The 21,077-nt window shown below is 39.9% G+C and overlaps 2 annotated features.

Annotated features, from left to right (window-relative positions):
* Positions 14,123-14,172: an enhancer, noted in NCBI's record as "active region_24853". NCBI's record gives its function as "activates an Ori minimal core promoter by ATAC-STARR-seq in GM12878 lymphoblastoid cells {active_cell/tissue: GM12878}" and the evidence as "EXISTENCE:reporter gene assay evidence [ECO:0000049][PMID:35858748]".
* Positions 19,558-20,126: an enhancer, noted in NCBI's record as "NANOG hESC enhancer chr6:99632134-99632702 (GRCh37/hg19 assembly coordinates)". NCBI's record gives its function as "activates a minimal SCP1, AML or CMV promoter by ChIP-STARR-seq in naive H9 embryonic stem cells {active_cell/tissue: H9 hESC(naive)}" and the evidence as "EXISTENCE:reporter gene assay evidence [ECO:0000049][PMID:30033119]".

Here is a 21,077-nt window from a genome sequence, read left to right as displayed (position 1 = left end):
GTACCTCAGATGGAAATGTAGAAATCACCCATCTTCTGCGTCGCTCACACTGGGAGCTGTAGACCGGAGCTGTTCCTATTCGGCCATCTTGGCTCCTCCTCCCAAGAAGATACATTTTTTTTACCCTCAAGGGACTCGCTGTTGAGCAGGAAAAGCATGTGAGCAAAGTTCACTTGAGGGATTAGTGCTACAATAATAGGGGTAAATAGAAAATGTGAACGGAGCAGAGAAGAAATGGGTTAATCAACATGGCAAGGAGGATATGCAGGAAGTCTCCTGGAGGAGGTGATGTCTTTATTGGGGTTTCAATTATGATTGGTATTTTGACAAGGAACAAGTAAGAAAGAGTTTTGTATGCAGTGGAAGAAACTCTCTAGGTGAATTCTTTCCCACACTTGAATGGCTGACTGGAGCACTTCATTGCAGATGGGTTGCTGAGGGGTAGTAAGTACATTAAGCCTGAACTTTGTTTCCAGAAGGACCTACATATGAGTCTTACTGGCAACTTCCTATATAACCCTTAGAAAGTTACTTAACCTTTTTGTCAGACACCTTATATAGGAGCAATCCTACTGGCAACAAGTTGATGTCCCTCAAGGTCAGAGATCCCAGAAGAAGGAGCAGACACCCATTTTTGCTGTTCCCCAGCCTCCTTGAGTTGCATCTCCAGGCATTGGGGCAAACCAGACGAATAGGGCCTGAAATGAACCCTCAACAAACCGCAGCAGCCCTACAGAAGAAGGGCCTGACCATTGAAAGAAAAACAAACAGAAAGCAACAACAACAAGAGGAAACAAACAAAACAACAACAACAAAAACAACAACAAAGTCCCTACAAAAACCCCATTCAAGTGTCAGCAGCCTCAAAGAAGAAACCAGACAAACTGATGGAGATGAGAATCAATGAAAAAAACACTGAAAACCCAAAAAGCAAAAGTGCCTCTTCTCTTCCAAATGATTGCAATGCCTCTGCAGCAAGGGCACAGAACTGGACGGAGGATGAGATGGACAAATTGACAGAAGTAGGCTTCAGAAGATGGGTAATTAAAAACTCTGCTGAGCTAAAGGAGCATGCTCACACCCAATGCAAAGAAGCTAAGAACCTTGATAAAAGGTTAGAGAAGCTGCTAACTAGAATAACCAATTTAGAGAGAAACATAAATGACGTGGTGAATCTGAAAAACACAGCACATGAACTTCGTGAAACATACACAAGTATTAGTAGCCAAATTAACCAAGCGGAAGAAAAGATGTCAGAGTTTGAAGACCACCTTGCTGAAATAAGGCATGCAGACAAGATTAGAGAAAAAAGAATGACAAGGAATGAACAAAGCCTCTGAGAAATATGGGACTACCTAAAAAGGCCAAACTTACAATTGACTGTAGTACCTGAAGGTGATGGGGAGAATGGAAACAAGCTGGAAAACATACTTAAGGATATTATTCGGGAGAACTTCCCCAACCTAGCAAGACAGGCCAACATGCAAATTCAGGAAATACAGACAATAGCACTAAGATACTCCACAAGAAGATCAACCCCAAGACACATAACCATCCGATTCTCCAAGGTTGAAATGAAGGAAAAAATATAGGTGACCTGGCCAGAGAGAAAGGCCAGGTCACCTACAAAGGGAAGCCCATCAGACTAACAGCAGACCTCTCAGCAGAAACCCTACAAGCCAGAAGAGATTGGAAGCCAATATTAAACATTCTTAAAGGAAAGAATTTTCAACCCAGAATTTCATATTCAGCCAAACTAAGCTTCATAAGTGAAGAAGAAATAAAATCCTTTCCAGACAAGCAAATGCTGAGGGATTTCATCACCACCAGGCCTACCTTGCAAGAGCTCCCGAAGAAAGCACTGAATATGGAAAGCAAAAACTGGTACAAGCCACTGCAAAAACACACCAAAATATAAAGACCAATGACACTACGAAGAAACTGCATCAACTAATGTGCAAAATGACCAGATAGCATTATGATGATCAAATTCACACATACAATACTAACCTTAAATATAAATGGGCTAAATGCCCCAGTTAAAAGACACAAACTGGCAAATTGGGTAAAGAGTCAAGACCCATCCATGTGCTATATTCAGGAGACCCATCTCACATGCAAAGACACACATAGACTCAAAATAAAGGGATGGGGGAATATTTACCAAGCAAATGGAAAGAAAAAAAAAAAGCAGGATTGCAATCCTAGTCTCTGCCAACACAGAACAGAGACTTTAAACCAGCAAAGATAAACAACAACAACAACAAAAGAAGGGCATTACATAATGGTAAAGGGATCAATGCAACAAGAAGAGCTAACTATCCTAAATAGATATGGACCCAATACAGGAGCATCCAGATTCATAAAACAAGTTCTTAAAGACCTACAAAGAGATTTAGACTCCCACACAATAATCATGGGAGAGTTTAACACCCCACTGTAAATATTAGACAGATCAATGAGACAGAAAATTAACAATGTTTTTCAGGACTTGAACTCAGCTCTGAATCAAGTGGACCTAATAGACATCTACAGAACTCTCCACCCTAAATCAACAGAATATACATTCTTCTCAGTGCCACACAACATTTATTCTTAAATCAGCCACATAATTGGAAGTAAAACATTCCTCAGCAAATGCAAAAGAACTGAAATCATAACAAAGTCTCTCAGATGACAGTGCAACCAAATTAGAACTCAGGATTAAGAAACTCACCCAAAACCACACAATTACATGGAAATTGAACAACCTGCTCCTGAATGACTCCTGGTCAAATAATAAAATTAAGGCAGAGATCAACAAGTTCTTTGAAACCAATGAGAACAAAGGATAATGTACCAGAATCTCTGGGACACAGCTAAAGCAATGTTAAGAGGAAAATTTATAACATTAAATGCCCACATCAGAAAGCTAGAAAGATCTCAAATCAACACCCTAACATCACAATTAAAAGAGCTAGAGAAGCAACAGCAAACTAATCCAAAAGCTAGCAAAAGACAAGAAATAACTAAGATCAGAGCAGAATTGAAGGAGATAGAGACACAAAAACCCCTCCAAAAAATCAATGAATTCAGGAGCTGCTTTTTTGAAAAAATTAACAAAATAGATAGACTGCTAGCTAGACTAATAAAGAAGAAAAGAGAGAAGTATCAAATAGACACAATAAAAAATGATAAAGGGGATATCACCACTGACCCCACAGAAATACAAACTACTATCAGAGAAATAAGCTAGAAAATCCAGAAGAAATGGATAAATTCCTGGACACATACACCTTCCCAAGACTAAACCAGGAAGAAGTCAAATGCCTGAATAGACCAACAACAAGTTCTGAAATTGAGGCAGTAATAGCCTACCAACCGAAAAAAGCCCAGGACCAGACAGATTCACAGCTGATTTCTACCAGAGGTACAAAGAAGAGCTGGTACCATTCCTTCTGAAACTATTCCAAACAATTGAAAATGAGGGATTCCTCCCTAACTCATTTTCTGAAGCCAGCATCATCCTGATACCAAAACCTGGCAGAGGCACAACAAAAAAAATTTCAGGCCAATATCCCTGATGAACATCTATGCAAAAATCCTCAATAAAATACTGGGAAACCACATCCAGCATCACATTTAAAAGCTTATCCACCATGATCAAGTGGGCTTCATCCCTGGGATACAAGGCTGGTTCAACATATGCAAATCAATAAATGTAATCCATCACATAAACAGAACCAATGACAAAAACCACATGATTATCTCAATAGATGCAGAAAAGGCCTTTGATAAAATTCAACACCCTTCATGCTAAAAACACTCAATAAACTAGGTATTGATGGAACATATCTCAAAATAATAAAAGCTGTTTATGACAAACCACAGCCAATATCATACTGAATGGGCAAAAGATGGAAGCATTCCCTTTGAAAACTGGCACAAGACGAGGATGCCCTCTCTCACCACTCCTATTTAACATAGTATTGGAAGTTCTGGCCAGGAAAATCAGGCAAGAGAGAGAAATAAAGAGTATTCAAATAGGAAGAGAGGAAGTCCAGTTGTCTCTGTTTGCGGATGACATGATCGTATATTTAGAAAACCCCATTGTCTCAGCCCCAAAACTCCTTAAGCTGATAAACAAGTTCAGCAAAATCTCAGGCTACAAAATCAATGTGCAAAAATCACAAGCATTCCTATACAAAAATAATAGACAAACAGAGAGCCAAATCATGAGTGAACTCCCATTCACGGTTGCTACAAAGAGAATAAAATACCTAGGAATACAACAAGGGATGTAAAGAAACTCTTCAAGGAGAATTACAAACCACTGCTCAAGGAAATAAGAGAGGACACAAACAAATGGAAAAACATACTATCCTCATGGATAGGAAGAATCAGTATTGTGAAAATGGCCATACTGCCCAAAGTAATTTATAGATTCAATGCTATTACCATCAAACTACCATTGACATTCTTCACAGCATTAAGAAAAACTACTTTAAATTTCATATGGAATCAAAGAAGACCCTGTATATCCAAGACAATCCTAAGCAAAAAGAACAAAGCTGGAGACATCATGCTACCTGACTTCAAACTATACTACAAGGCTACAGTAACCAAAACAGCATGGTACTGATACCAAAACAGACAGAGACCTCAGAAATAACACCACACATCTACAACCATCTAATCTTTGACAAGCCAGACAAAAACAAGCAATGGGTAAAGGATCTTCTATTCAATAAATGGTGCTGGGAAAACTGGCTAGGCACATGCAGAAAACTGAAACTGTACCCCTTCCTTACCCCTTATATGAAAATTAACTCAAGATGGATTAAAGACTTAAATGTGAAACCCCAAACCATAAAAACCCTAGAATCAAATCTAGGTAATACCATTCAGGACAAAAGCATCGGCAAAGACTTAATGATGAAAACACCAAAAGCAATTGCAACAAAAGCCAAGATTGACAAATGGGATCTAATTAAACTAAAGAGCTTCTGCACAGCAAAAGAAACCATCATCAGAGTGAACAGGTAACCTACAGAATGGGAGAAAATTTTTGCAATCTACCCACCTGACAAAGGTCTAATACCCAGAATTTACAAGGAACTTAAACAAATTTACAAGAAAAAAACAAATGACCCCATCAAAAAGTGGGCAAAGGATATGAACAGACACTTCTCAAAGTAAGACATTTATGCAGCCAACAAACATGAAAAAAAGCTCAACATCACTGATCGTTAGAGAAATACAAATCAAAACCACAATGAGATACCATCTTATGCCAGTCAGAATGGCGATTATTAAAAAGTCAAGAAACAATAGATGCTGGTGAGGCTGTGGAGAAATGGGAATGCTTTTACACTGTTTGTAGGAGTGTAAATTAGTTCAACCATTGTGGAAGACAATATGGTGATTCCTCAGGGATCTAGAACCAGAAGTATCATTTGATCCAGCAATCCCATTACTGAGTATATACCCAAGGGAATATAAATTATTCTACTATAAAGACACATGCACATATATGTTTATTGTAGCACTATCTACAATAGCAAAGACATGGAACCAACCTAAATGCCCATCAATGATAGACTGGATAAAGAAAATGTGGTACATACATATATACCATGGAATACTATGCAGCCATAAGATTGAATGAGATTATGTCCTTTGCAGGGACATGGATGAAGCTGAAAGTTATCATCCTCAGCAAACTAACGTAGAAATAGAAAACCAAACACCTCATGTTCTAACTCATAGGTGGGAACTGAACAATGAGAACACATGGACACAGGGAGGGGAACAACACACACCAGGGCCTGTTGAGGGGTGCAGGGCAAGGGGAGGGAATTTAGAGGATGGTTCAATAGGTGCAGCAAACCACCATGGCACACGTATACCTGTGTAACAAACTTGCACGTTCTGCACATGTATCCTAGAACTTAAAGTAAAATAAAAAAAAAAATAAATAAAATTACTTAACTTTTTAAAGTCTGTTTCTTTTTCTGTGAAATGGAGACCCTAATAGAGCGTATCTTATAGGGCCATTCCAAGGATGAAATCAGCCAATGCTTTGCATATTGCTTGCCATCTAGTAGCAAATAGTATCTATTGTTTTGTTGCTGCCCAAATATGATTCTCCAAGAACTTGAGGGCAACACAGTTCTATTGCTACAATTTTGTCTAGGTCACAAAAATATCATAAATATTAGCTTCATTTTCTCTTTTTAGCCAAAAACTTTGGAGGCAGAATTGATCAGGCATAAGCAGTGGTGCAACTGGATGGCAATGTGTGGGTGAAGCAAAGAAAGTGACAAGCAGGGCTGGTTTTATGGGCATTTGACCTGTGTAGTTGCACGGGGCTCCATATTCAGAAGGGCTCTGCATTTGGTTTCTGCTGTCAATTCTTGAAATTTGCTGTTGTTTGAATGTTTGTCTTTTCCAAAAAGCCATGTTGAAATTTAATTGCCATTTTAACAGTATTAAGAGGTTGGACATTTAAGAGGTGTTTAGGCCATGAGGGCAGAGCTCTCATGAGTAGGATTGATGCCTTTATAGAAGGGAGGGGTTGGCCCTCTTTCCCTCTTGCAAACTATCTCTTTATTTTCTCAATCTCTCTCTCTTTGTCTTTCTTGCTTGCTCTCTTTCTTCCCTTCTGCCATGTGATGATGCAGCAAGAAGGCCCTCAAAAGGTGCCAACACCTTGACATTGGACTTCCTAGCCTCTGGAACTGTGAGCCAATGAATTTTTGCTTATTAAAAATTATACACTCTTGGGTATTGTGTTGCAGCAGCATGAAATGGACTAAGACACAAAATTCTTAATAATTTTTGAACAAATGATACTGAATTTTTATTTTGCACTAGGCTCTGCAAATTTTGTGTCTGGTCTTCGTGACAGGATTGTCTCAGGACAGGTCATCTCTTCTATTTCATGTTCCTCTCTGGCTAAGGGTCTGTAGGATCATATCCCTTCTTGAGGTTCTTCCTGGGGAAAGGGCTGCAGCATCTCTTTCTGTGTATGGGTCTTCCAGAAGTATAGTGCTAGGGCTGGGAAAAACCCACTTATGCATCAGCTCATCTGGCCATTCTGGGGCATTCACAAACATGAATTTGGTGTAGCTTCTGCCCCAGGGGAGCTCACACTCTAGAAGGTGGAGACAAATGTATACATAAATGACTACAGATTGATATGGCAAGTGCTAGAAGCAGGGATGTGGAAGGTGTTGTTGAAACCCAGAGAAAGACGTGCAGGAATCACAGTGTGTGTTAAACATTTATTATCTTTGTGTGTTGGTCTCTCCTAGGTTTTCTTGGAAGGATGTGTCATTTTTCCCATGATTTTATTTTCATGAATGAGGGTCCATGGGAGGGAAAGTTTGATACTGCAATTCTTGCAACTCAAAAAGGCACAAAACATGGATGTGTTTGAGTAGAGGCCTTCTCCTAAGATCCTACAGTGGGTTCTGGAAGTTTCTCCCTATCAGATGGTGTGAATGGCTGAAAATGACTTTATAGTCTGGCAAATAGGCACCTGAGGCTGATGGGGCCTCTGTCATAAGGTCCTTTAACATTCTTCTAATAGCTATTCTCATGGTAATTTTGCCATTTCCATAATATCTCTCTCCTCACTTGGAAATACCTTGAGTCCTATCTTTACTAGAAGTGAAAGTTTCCTACAGGGATCTTGATCAATGCTCTCAGTTATAAAATGTTTTCATTGGCCGATCAAAAAGATAATTTGGGGAAGATTTAGGTGTTTTTTCTCCCCCTCTAACAAAATAATTATAAACAATGTTAGACTGCAAGTTGGCCCTTAGTAATAAAACCGTACCTCTTCTTACTGAGCTCCATAAAGTCAGCCCTTACATCCTATTTGCCTCTACTGTGTCTAGCACAGTGCCTGCCACCTGGTAAGGACTCAAACAACAGCAGGTGAAATGGAACAGAATGTTGGAGTGGGAGTGAATGCCCTTTGGAACAGGAGTGCCAAAAAGCATTTTTTTCTTATTTATTTATTTTTGTACATAAATAGGTTATTTAGTGGTGATTTCTGAGATTTTGATACACCCATCACCTGAGCTGTGTACACTGTACCCAATGTGTAGTCTACCAAAAAGCAATTTTGAAAGGTAAAATGGAGTTTCTAAAGCTTCACCTGCTGAAAAGTAGCCAACCATGGCAGGCTTCCAGTCAATTCAGTGTCCTGGAATGCATCTACCTTTGAACACTAAGGTTATGCTTCAGTGATGCCAAGTAATTGGATTAACTGATTTGGACTTTTCCTGAATTGACCTTTTGTGTGCTGTCCATGTGGAGAGAACTGTAGAGTGCTCCTAGTTTCTCTTCAGTTACGTAAACTGAGGCTTGAGCCCCTTTCCAGAATATTTCTCAGCTGAGTTGATTCAATGTGTTGCATTATTCTATTTATCCAAATACCCTTTCCAAGCAAAAACAACAGACCTGGATTCATTTACAGCCAGGGCACAAAAATGTACATCTTTAACAGAATATCTTGTTATTTCAGAGCCAAATCCCACCTTCTGATGTTAACATTTTTCCTTTATAAGTAGTGGAAGCTGAGAGCCCATCACCACAGATCTCAATCTGGCCTTTGATTCCAGTCATGCTCTCCAACAACTGGGGAAAGCATTTAAGGTGAACAGGCGCTCTCAAGAGATGAACTTCTGGTCATTATTCCTTATGAGAAGACCTAGGGCTTCTCATAAAATAACACCTAGCATTTTTTTTTTACTTGAGAAAAGAGAAAGAAAGCAAAACCAAGTAAAACAGAATACATTTGAAGTAGATAGGATAGAACATCTTTGTAGTTGGAGATCCGAGATCAGACTCCTGCCCTAGATGTCTTTATCTTCATTTCTGTACCAAATAGCAACTTACCGTGAATTGGATGACCACCAATGCTATTATTATTATTGTTATTATTATTATTATTATATATCGGTCATGCAGTACTAGATATGGGCAAAGTGATTTACAATCATGCTATATGATTAAATAAAAAATGATTCTTTTAAGTGAATTGAATTTTTATCTGGCGAGTATTAGTCTACTGCTCTCTGGTTCACTTAACTCAGGCAGCAAAAATAAATGGCTCATTTTCACTTCTGAATATGAGTACATTTGTACACGACTCCCAAGTTTTAGAATTTAACACTTTGATAAAAAGTAAAAGCCAGAAACAGTTTTCGTGAAATTTTTTTAGCCTTTCATAAAAACAACCCTTCTGCAGTACTTGTAATATTGGTAACTGTAGTGAATTTAAATTAGAGAATGAGAAGATAGGCTAGAAAAAAGAAGAGAATGATTTGAGCTTGAAACAAGTGTTGTCACCTCCACTGCCACTGTCCTCATCATTCTAGTGGGTAATTAGAATAGCATAATAAAATAGAATAAAATTGATAGAGGTGATCATATCACACCCACCCCCTTGCTTGAACCTGTTGATGGTTTTCCATCGTTACCCAATGTCTGACATGTAATAGACCTAAAGCAAACTTTAATTGAATTTGTTGAAATTCTCATTTATAATACTCATAGGTCAAAGGAAAGAAGTTAGGAAGAAAAAAAGACTTTTGATTGATTACTAATGAGGCAGAATTTTTTTCTATGTTTATTGAACTTTTGAGTGTGTGTGTGAATTTCCTGTTGTTTCTTATCTATTTTTTTTCTGATATGGTGGGTGTGCTTTTTCTTTCTTGGTCTAAACATATATTTATTAAACCAGCAGTCCCCAACCTTTTTGGTACCAGGGACCAGTTTCATGGAAGAAAATTTTTCCACCAGGGTAAGATGATGGTTTTGGGATGATTCAAGCACATTATATTTATTGTGCACTTTATTTCTATTGCTATTATTACATTGTAATATATAATGAAAAAATTATACAACTCACCATAATGTAGAATCAGTGGGAGCCCTGAGCTTGTCTTCCTGAAACTAGACGGTCCCATCTGGGGTGATGGGAGACAGTGACAGATCATCAGGCATTAGATTGTCATAAGGAGTGCACAACCTAGATTCCTTGCATGTGCAGTTCACGATAGGGTTTGCGCCCCATGGGAATCTCAGGCGGGTGCTGATCTGATAGGAGGCAGAGCTCAGGCAGTAATGTGAGCAATGAGGAACAGCTGTAAATACAGATGAAGCTTCGCTCACTTGCTGCTCACCTCCTGTTGTGCGGGCCAGTTCCTAATGGTACTGGTTCATGGCCCGGGGCTTGAAGACGCCTCTATTAAACATTTCTTAAAAACTGTGATGGGTCAGCTCTTAGCTCTCTTGGCTATAAGTATGTGTGTAGGTACACACACATACACACACACACATGTGTTCTGTAATCTCTGCTTTGCACCATCATTTGATAAATTGTGCTTAAACTCCTTCGGTAAAGAAGTCCAGAGCTCATATTCTTTTCTTTAAAACTTTGCCTTTCTCTCCATCCCAGATGTGAAGTGCACATTAGAGGTACTAGTACTGTCAGAACATTTAGATCTCTCTCACCAATGTAGTCTTAAATATGGGGTTTAGCTGAATTCCTTCACTGAGGTGGTGCAAGCTTTATGCCCTGGAGTGAGCACTGTCCCCTTTGTTGGGAATCGATTCCTGGGTCTACATTCTGCCCATTGTCCCTATCTGCAGTCTGCCCCACTTTCCCATCTGCCCTACATGAAGCTGGTAATAAAATACCTGAGAAGGAGTTGACGTTTAATGAATGCATTAAAGAGCATTTACTGTGCCCTCATCATTGGGCAACTTAAGGATAAGACCTGTTCCTGATCATTGGGAGCTTGACTTAGTTGGACAGTTGAGCTACAGGGGCTTCAGTTATGAAAAAAATGCGAGGCCACATATATTTACGAGATTGAGGGAATAGTTCAGATAGCAAGTGCCATAGGAATCTAAGAAAGGAGAGAGCAGTGGGGTCTGAAAGGATGAAGTACTGTGGAGACAATGAGACTGACTTGGGATTTGGGGAGTGGCTAGTTTGGATTGGGAAGATGTTCCAAGCAAGAGGAAATAGGGTTTTTGTTGCAGAGAATGGGTAGTTAAGGTGAACACATTGGGCAGCTCTGGTTCTCATGTGACCTCAGGGCCAGCTGAAGCCTGGGCTCCAGGCTAAGGACTTGCTGGGGGCTTCTGAGCAGGGCCATGAGATAAGTATTTCAGGAGGATGACTCTGCCTGCAGCATGGGAGGAGGAGCAATGAGGTTCCACGAGCCTAGATGGAAGGAGAGCCTTAACCTGTGCCCAGCAGTCCAGTTGTGTTGGAGGAGGGCTGCATCTGAGTGGGGCAGTGAGAGCAGACAGACTTGGCCAGATAAGGGACTTGATAGATGATTGGACATGGGTCGAAAGTTAAAAACTTGACTCTAGTGGAGTCAGTGACTGATGCAAAGCAGGAGGGGACTCTTTTTCTGGTCTTTGGTGAAAGAAGGAAGAAGGCTGGTGCAATGTTAAAGCTCTGAGGGAGGGTGAGCCCTGGTCCCTTGAGTGTTACTACTACTGAGATATCATGCAGGCTGCTGCTGAATCTTCCCTTGTTCCTGACTGCCTCATTCCTGACCACAGGTGTTGTCAGGGCTTGTGTCTTTCAGCCATTTCCTTCTTATGATCATGTCAGCACTGTTTGTTCTTATCATGCGGGCATCGCTGTTCAGGTGTGATGCCATCTTGGATTGCAGGAGATTTCGTTAGGGCATCAAAGGGCCTGTTCACTCTGTGTCACACCTGGACACACTAATTTGTCTTGCTGCTGCCCTGCTTTGCTGGGAGGTGTGTGTGTGTATGTGTGTGTGTGCGTGTGTGTGTGTGATGTGTGTGTGTGTGTGTGTGTTTGTTGAAGGACTTATCAGCCTACACATAGCACATGGCCATTTCTTTCCTGGGCATTAGGAACTCTACATTACTTTGCTGTTTTCCCTGGTTTCTGTCCAAGAAGGGCCTAGGATATCTTTGTTCTGTTTTTGCAGTGTATCATCATATTTCACACCCTCCCTAACACACACACATACACACACACACACAATGCATATATGCTTTTTGCTTCTCTATGTCCCCTTCAGTTCTTACTTTATCCCATACAAGAGGATCTTTACCTCATCTTGGGGTAGAATGTGTGGGGGAAGGCATTGCTTTTCTTGTCAGTGCATCTTTCCAATTATTTTATCTATGTCAGGGATGAGGCATTTGGAGTCAAACACTGACTCCTGTGTTTTCTACTTTATGCTGCATCATTTGGTCACTGAGGTAATTAATACCACATGAGTAAGAGTAGGAGTAATAAGAAATATTAGAAAAAATACTAATAATTCAATATATGAAACAAATTTGAAATGGGAGTGCATCCTGCTCTTTTATTTAACATTGTGTTTTCACCATTGTCCTATTTTGTTACGTTCTTTTCAAAAACATATTTTTAAATGACAGCCTCATTTATTTAACTACCCTTCTATTGCTGGAATTAAATTTTTCTAAGATTTCTTTTTTTGAATTTCAAACAACTTAAGTGATGAAAAACAGTGTGCATAAGTCTTTGAGTACACTTCTCTTTATTTCCTTAATAAGAATTCCTAAGGGGGAATTACTGAGTCAAAGCAAATGAACATTTAAAGGACTCTTGATAATTGTGTCCAAATTGCCCTGCAGATAAGTTGTTGCAAACACTTCAAACTGCAGCACCTATTTATCCATGTTGTTAGCAGCCTTATTATTTTGAACATCATCAGTTATAGGATCTTTTCCATTTGAGATTTCATCTTTCCATGTAGTTTTAACTTGAAAGTCTTTATTTGTAGTGAGGTTATCTTAGTCTGTTTTCTTTTTACATTTTTATTTAATTTTTTTTAATAGAGATGAGGTTTTGCCATGTTGCCCAGGGTGATTTCGAACTCCTGGGCTCAAGCAATCCTCCCTCCTTGGCCTCCGAAAATGCTAGGATTACAGGTGTGAGTCACTATGCCTGGCTCTCTGTTTTCTGTCATTATAACACTTGAAGACTAGAAAGTTTATAATGGAAAGAGGCTTATTTAGCTCACAGTTCTGGAAACTGGGAGGTCCAAGATCAGGTGGCTGAATCTGGTCTTCTTCTGGTGAGGGTCTTGTGCTGCCTTATAACATGGCAGGGAAGTGGAAGGGGAAGTGGGTGAGAACGGAAGGGATATTAGGTCTTAATGACCTAATCATCTCTTAGAGGCCCCACCTCCCAACACTGCCACATCGGGGACCCAATTTCCAACACATGAATTCTGGGGACACACTCAAACCATAGCAGAGGTTGAATATTCAAATAAATAGTTTGGAAACTTCCTAGAGAAGTGAAACTGGTGTGGATCTGTAAGAGAAGAAATGCCTTGACAACCTTGGGAAGGGATTATCATCCATGCTCAGGAAGACAGGTGGGAATACGGGATGAGGAATGGGAAAATGAGAACTTGGACAAGATGGTAAGGTGGGGGATCTTCCTAGGAGGAGGCCACTAAGCCAGGACATCTAGTGCCCCTGAAACCTTCAACTACTCAGGAACCTCAGTATGATCACATTCACTTTTATTTGTAGCCATCATATTAAAAAAAACTTCTCTTTTTTTTTCCTAAGTAAACTAGAAGACAGAAAAACTGTAAGGCTGATATATAGCATATTCCAAGTGGGACCCATTTGCTGGCTAAGCAGTAGATCAGCACAAATTATGAGCATTTAGACATGTGTTAACCTACTAATTGAGGGTTGGGGGACACTAGATGATGAGGCCTCTAGTAGATGCCCTTGATCTGCCCTCTCCCGATTCCTGAAACACCAATTAACACTCTCAGTCAATACTAGAAAACATATGGTGAAGATAAACACTACCCTATAAAGAATATCACCCTGGCTTGTCACAGGACATTAACTGACCCGTACTGACACCCCTACGGGGGTGGCAGCAGCAAATTGTAATGGAAAAGTTACTGTTTTCCTATTTAACTTTCTGTGTGTGAAAAAGGCCCTCTTGATGTCTAAGAACAATATAAGAATGTTGTGCATATGTGTGTGTGTGTGTGTGTGAGTATGTGTGCGTGGGTGTGTGTTGGGTCTTTTGTGGTCTGCCTCATTCTCATTCTCGCTCACATGTGATCTTCTTACGATCTGACTGTTTCTGTTTCGGTATAAGGTCAGCCTAATTGCAAAGGTGGTTTGAGGAATGAATACATAATGTATTTTAAGAAGTCAGCCAAGTAACTTTCCAAATAAAATCTGAAATTTTACCATTGGTAAGTCATCTCTTTATGTATGTCAAGTGTTGACCCTTTCTCCAGGAGCTCCTATGCTATGGGAAGGACATGAGAAGTCCCTTAGTATAGACAAATTCATCACTTCATACTCTTTCCTGAAAGGAGAGATGGAGCCACCTTAGAGGCAGGGGATTCTTGTAGACTCCACTGCATGGACAGCAGTGCTAATATCCTAACTGAGAGCTTCTGTAGGGAATGTTCTCCACCCTGTGGCCCTTCCTTTCCATCCTGGGCTAGTGCCTCCCAGGACTCTAGGACTTTGCTTCCCCTGCTCTGCATGCCTGTGGTAGGCAGAATAATGGCCCACAAGTATGTCCATGTCCTAATCTCTGGAATCTGTGAATATGTTAGGTTATATGACAAAATAAATTAGAGTTGTAGATGGATTAAGGTTGATAATTAACTGACCTTGAAATGGGAAGATTATATAGGTTGAGTATCATTTATCTGAAATGCTTGGAACCAGAAGTGTTTCAGATTTCAGAATATTTGAATTTATACTTACTGGTTGAGCATCCTAAATCTGAAAACTTGAAATTCAAAATGCTCCAATGAGCATTTCATTTGAGTGTCATGTTGGGACTCAAAAAGTTTCAGGTTTTGGAGCATTTTGGATTTCATATTTTTAGATTTGGGATGCTTAACCTGTACTGAATTATGTAGATGGGTTCAGTGTAATCATGAGTCCTTATAAGTAGAAGGAGGCAGAATAGAGAGAGCACCACAGTGTGAGAAGGAGTTGGCCTGACACTGTTGACTTTGAAGATGATGAAATTGTATCATAAGCCCAGGGATGTTGGTGGCCTCTAGGAGCTGGAAAAGGCGAAGTAATGGATTTTCCCCTAGAGCCTCCAGAAGGAACACACTTCAGCCGACACCTTGAGTTTAGCTTAGTGAGACCCATTTTAAACCTCTGAAATTCAGAACTTTAAGATAATAAATTCACATTGTCTTAAATAACTGTTTGTGGTTGATTTGTTACAGCAGCAACAGGAAACTAATATAAAGCCCAAGTTGTCTGGCCCTGAGCTTGGGAGCCCAGTAAGGACATTGTCTGAACCCCCATCAAGCTCAAGGTTGTGGTTAGTCTCTAGGATGATGTATACTGGTTATTTAGTAGAAGCTTATAACTGCTAGGACTGAGACGTCTCAGAAGGTGCTGCAGAATGCTTCTAAACTGGCCCAACTAGGTTGGTGAGGGGATGAGAAAGATGCATGTTTGATACTCTGAGGCCTGAAGCATTTTCTATCCCCCTTTAAATAATTAAAACCTACTGTCCACTAAAATTCTCCTTGTGTTCCTGTTCATCTTAGGCAGTTTCTCCAGGAGAGTTGTGCTTCTCAGAACCTGAAGAATTATGAACAAGGTTTTTGTCTTCAAAGTATTGGCTGATGATAAACATATAGTCATTCACTTATTTATACAATGCATATTAACTTAAAGTTTTCGTTGTGTAAGCTGGCATGAGGATGCATTTCCTCTGCTTAGGAAATGTAAACCTGTGAGAAGGTTGAAAGCAAGGACATTGGTCCATTCATTTGTTCTTTTATTTATTAACTTGGGGTGGGCACCTACATGTGCTAGACAGTAGGCTAGGCTCAGGGATACAGTGTTGATAGACTTTATGAAAATGACTTTATAATTTTTGTTGTGTTGAGTTCCATGATGATGGAAGTTTTGCTCCTCCTTCCTTTCCTGCCTCCTTCGCATTGAGTTCCTTTCATATTCCCAGGCTTCTTGTTATGTGGCATAGCACCTATTAAGGTGCCATGAGAACATGTAATGGAGCCTATTCAGTGGTGGTTCAGCGTTTGGTTGGAGGGTGTGTTACAGGAAATAATGGGTGGCCGTGCCGGGGTGATGGGCTGATTGAGAGCCATTGCCATTGGAGGTTTTCAAAGCAGCTCAGGAAATGGGAACCTTGGGGAAAGTGGAGAGCTGAATAAAGTCTGGCTGGTCTTATTTCCAAGGAAGAGAGATAATCCTGTTGGGGGAGAGATCAAGCCAGGTTTTGACACCCAATACTTGTTCCTCTAACACCATTTCCTAGAGAACTCTGGGTAAAAGAAAAAATGGACACTTTGGAACATTGGAATTAGTCTTTAAAATGGGATAGATCATTTATTGCAAAGCGTTGTCTTCCCTTGAAAGGAATTTAGTATTCTGGGCAAGTTTGGTTTGAGACAGAACTTTGAGTGCAGCCACAAGAGCAAACCAACATCTACTCTTAGGGCCAGAAGAGCCAAATTATTTTTAGAAATGAGTTTACTTTTTTTCAGGTGACACAATAATGATGCAAGTGTAAGACAGCAGCATATCGAACAAAGAGGTGGGGCCATAAAAGCAAAGGGTCAGATTGTAACAATGTCCGAAGGATGTGGACCACAGGAGGGCAACTCCAGAGTGCTTAAAATGGAGTTGCTTGGGTAATGAGCCAAGGAAGTATCTGTGAGTCATCCTACTTATGTTTCCAAAATAGACTCACTGACCTGATTTAAGAGGCATTAAAAGGGATGAAGTTGACATTTGCAAATACATTTAACTTATTTGTCTTGTAAGCAGGGAACATGTTGGGACAACTTTCAACTGCATAATGTGTGGTCTAGGAGCTTTGATCTCTTTATGCTTTCTTTATATTGAGAAAAAGCTTTGAAGTATCCTGCAATTATGAATACAGTAGACACCTGTTGTAATGGGTTGCTGTGAAATTGATTTGACTCTACCAAGGGTCAACTCCTGTCTCCTGATGAAATCCTCATGTGCTTTAAAATCCTTTTTCCTCCTAGTAACTTAAGAGAAGAATGTTAGTCATACTTCCTATTTTCAGCCCAGGGAGGGTTATTTACCATTTTAACTTTTCCTTTAAGTCATTGATTAGATAGGGTATCTGTTCAAGAATGGCTGTCACATTGGCCAATACAAGTGGAGGTGACGTGATTCTCATGCATTTACTTCTGGGTAACTGTTTTTCAGTTGAAATGAACTTTTGAGTGATGGTGGTGATTTTGATGATGCCTTTTCTTATGACTATTCTGTTGAGTAGGGGAACTAAAGCAAAAAGTAAAGGTAGTCTCGGCTTTATATTATCTGTAGATCATTGATAGGTTAAGTTTGATTTAACCTGATGCTTTAGAGCATATGAAAAACAAATCTTGTGTTTGATCAGCTGAGTGTCTCTTTCTGAGCTCATTGCCTAGGTTTTCCTAATTGGACAAAGAATTGGGCAATTCTACAGCTCTGGCAATTCCACCTTTGCCATGTATTGGGACTCAGAGCCAAGAGTCCCTGAAGAGGGATGGCATGCACCTGTTGGTCACTGTAACTCCTGGCTATTCCTCAGGGGACAGGACAGAGTTGTAGAACATATTTGTGTTTCCACCAAACAAACATAACTTTCCTTTTGCTCCTCCTTCCTTTCCTGCCTCCTTCACATTGTGTTCCTTTCATATTCCCAGGCTTCTTGTTATGTGGCATTAATATCTAAGTGGTAGAGATGGGTAACTAAGAATAGAGTACTCATGTTACCATGCTTGTGCACCCCTTCTGCCCTGGGAGCGCTCTGCATGGGATATGGGACTTTGCCTAGGTTTTGCCAAACCCTTGTCAAACCTTTTGCGAAACCCTTACCAATGGAATGGGTCATGAGGACCCAGTGGATTTTACATCTTCTGGGTGAGTCTAATTCTCTATAGCTTGGGGCTGGGTTAAGAGGTTGGGGAGCAAAAGCATGGCCTAGGTATCAAGTACATCTCCTGTGGTGGGGAGAGGTGGTGTCTTCATGATTTGGGGAGTGTTGCTTTAGACTTAAACAATGAGTACTGGAACTCCAACTGTGAGACACTGGTCTTTAATAAGTGCATAATAATCTCGCACTGGAATGACTTTCACTTCAGGAAGATCAGTTTTCGGTCCAAAACCCATTCATAGTGCTCCTTTAATGAGAAAAATAGTGACCTCGTATGAGGGAAATCTGTTTAGAGCACAAATAACTATTATTACAATTTTAGATAACCCAATCTAACAGAAGGCCATGTGATTGAAAGGACAGACGATAAAATCTAAATACGAGTAAAGCCTGAGAATACACCTTTTCTTCTAATGCTGACTGTCTAGTTGTGTTTGTTATCTAACCCTGTAATTAGGATGGCATTCAGAAAATATGAGAAAAGTTGGTATTCTTTTCATAACCCCCAAATCTTTGCATTGCTGCATGAAACTTTTGGCTTCAGCTTTTCCCTGTTCATTAACCATGCCAAAATTTTTAATCTAACACCACTATTAAAGAGTGGCAGGCTTCCAGGGAAATATATCAGCCAGGCTTATTAATTTCATGCCAAGTGCTGGAGGCGTGAATGTAGAGAACGCTGTTTGACTTTGGATAATAGGAATCAGGCAGCTTAAAGGCAAGGGATAAAGATCAGGAGCCCTGCGTCTCAGGAGGAGGAGCAGGTGCAGGCTTCAAGCAAGGCCTTCAGGCCCAAAGGGGCAGCCCATGCTTAAAACAATCTGCAGTGCTGTTTTTTTTTTTTTTTTTTAATTTGGCGTGTGCCTCTCACAGCTTAACAGACCGCTGCTCCACAAAGAGGGGTAAACAGAGAAAGGGAAATTAAAAAGGGAAGTCCCCAGGTAGACAAAAACAAATTAGGGCAAACAAATTACACAGAGTCAACAAATAAACAAGGGAACATCTGTGAATATATTTCTTGGATTTTCTGATACTGAATGCAACCTGAGAGATGGTAGAGGGAGGTGAGGAGTATAATCTAGAGCAATGTCCTCTTTGGAGGGAATGAGCAAGCTGAACACAAGAAGAGCAAGAGGTACCTGAAGTGGAACTGGTGAGAGTTCACGGGAGGAGGTCAGAAGCTCTCCAGGTGATGATCTGACCGGCCGCACCTACATGAGCTGGTCTTCCTGCTTCCCCTGCTGCACCCTCTGTCTGTCACCCAACCATGCCTTGAAGGGTGGTTTTTGCCATGGGCTCTGCCGACCATCACATAGGAAAGGGCTGTAGAAATATAAAGAAGTAGCAGTCCATTTATATAAGCAAACAAAATAAAGCTAGCAACATTCCAATAGAGGATGTATGTTCACCTTATCCATTTTTCACATCTGTTCCTAGTGGGCACACTTAGCTCTTCCAACCACTAGACATTTGCCAGGTGTTGCCTGGATGTTGGGAAACATTTAAGCTATACCTTCTGGCCGTTTGGTTGCTGCTGACACAATTTCCCTTTTACCCTGAGGCTGTTGAGATGATTTCAAGGTTTTAAAGGAAGTTCAGCATATTGCATACTGTTAACCAAAGGCATAACTGCATTTAGAAACAGATGAAAAGAGTAGGAATTGGTTTACAACATCTTCCGTGGATCCTCTCCCACTGTGGAATGTGGGCAAATATAATAAGGAAGTGAAGAAATTATAAGTATTTGATTTATTCACTACATAACTCAAATGATACTCAGATAATTTCTAAATTTTTTCCTTTGGATTCTTTAAGCTTCATGAAGTGGTCAGTTGTTTAGGGTCTAAACTGTTCTTTTCTAATCTGATTGTTGTGCTAAGTGCCCTATCATTCCTGCTGCCTTGAGCCTTCATCATGCAGATGATAACCTACTAGAAACACCCAACAAAGTGGGAACTTTTTTGTGTATGTGTACATGCAAGAGTGAAATAAGCCTGCAATTCTCCCCCTATTCCTCACTTACATATTTTTGGTTTATTGCTTATTCCTGAATGGGATACAACAAGTAAGCTGTGCAATAGAAGACTTTTACTAGATGTGGTCAATGTGCAAATCTAAGAACAGTACAATGATGTTAGACAACTATATTCGAAGTAGTTCAGCAGTTAGGATTTGTTCTATGAAGCTAACAGTGTAGGGAATAACAGTAAGCAGAAAGGTAATACTAATCAGTAACTCATTGAATCAGTGGTGGAGACACCCAGGCACATTTCCTGGCCAAGGTGGGCATGTTTTGTGAACTTTGTTGAATTATTTGACTTCTGTTTGCTGATTTGTAAAATGAGTGTAACCGTGTTTTTTTAGTCCTTCAAGAAATGGTAGGAAGTACAGCCAGTGTCTATGAGATACCTTCAGTTCTGGACAGAAATTATCAATAAAAATGCTAGCCTCCATTTATTATTAATTCTCATGTACAGTGTTGCAAGGGACCTTGTGAGGTCAACCTGTTCTCACCCCATTTGCAGTGCTTGTTATTTGGAATCCTAGAGAAACACAATGATGGATTATTCCAAATTTCTTTGTGTCAAGATATTAAGATGAGGTACCCAATTACTATCAAAGCCCCGCTAAAAGCTCATTGTAGGATGCAGGAGATCAATATCATCAAATATTTTTTGGGTATCTATTGGGTGCTCTGTGTTTCATTTGTAACTATTTGCTGTGATTTAGAGTTAAAATCTACAGGCTCCTCCTTGCATATTTAGTAAGTTTTCTCCCCATTCAGTTTAGAGAAAAATCTTTAAATTTCTTTTATAAGCTGAACATGCCTCTCTGGAATGAATTTGTAAGAAATTTGTAAAGAATCCATGTTTCATGCCAATTCTGGAGAGAAGGCATAGAAAAATCTCCATAGAATAACATGTGACTTCAAAGGCTACTGCTACAGTAAACCTAAAAGGATAAACAGAATATGGTTTGTAATACTGTTACGATTCCACTTACATAAGAAACCAATGTTTAATGACAGTATTTGTTGTCTCATAAGTCTTACAGACAATTATTTTACTATAATTATGTTTCTAAAAACTTTCTGAGAAGCCTTGATACCAATCTG

The sequence above is a fragment of the Homo sapiens genome, chromosome 6 (assembly GCF_000001405.40).
Source record: "Homo sapiens chromosome 6, GRCh38.p14 Primary Assembly".
Taxonomy (NCBI): Eukaryota; Metazoa; Chordata; class Mammalia; order Primates; family Hominidae; genus Homo; species Homo sapiens.
The sequence above is the reverse complement of the archived record's forward strand: the minus strand, read 5'-3'. Positions and strand labels throughout refer to the sequence as shown.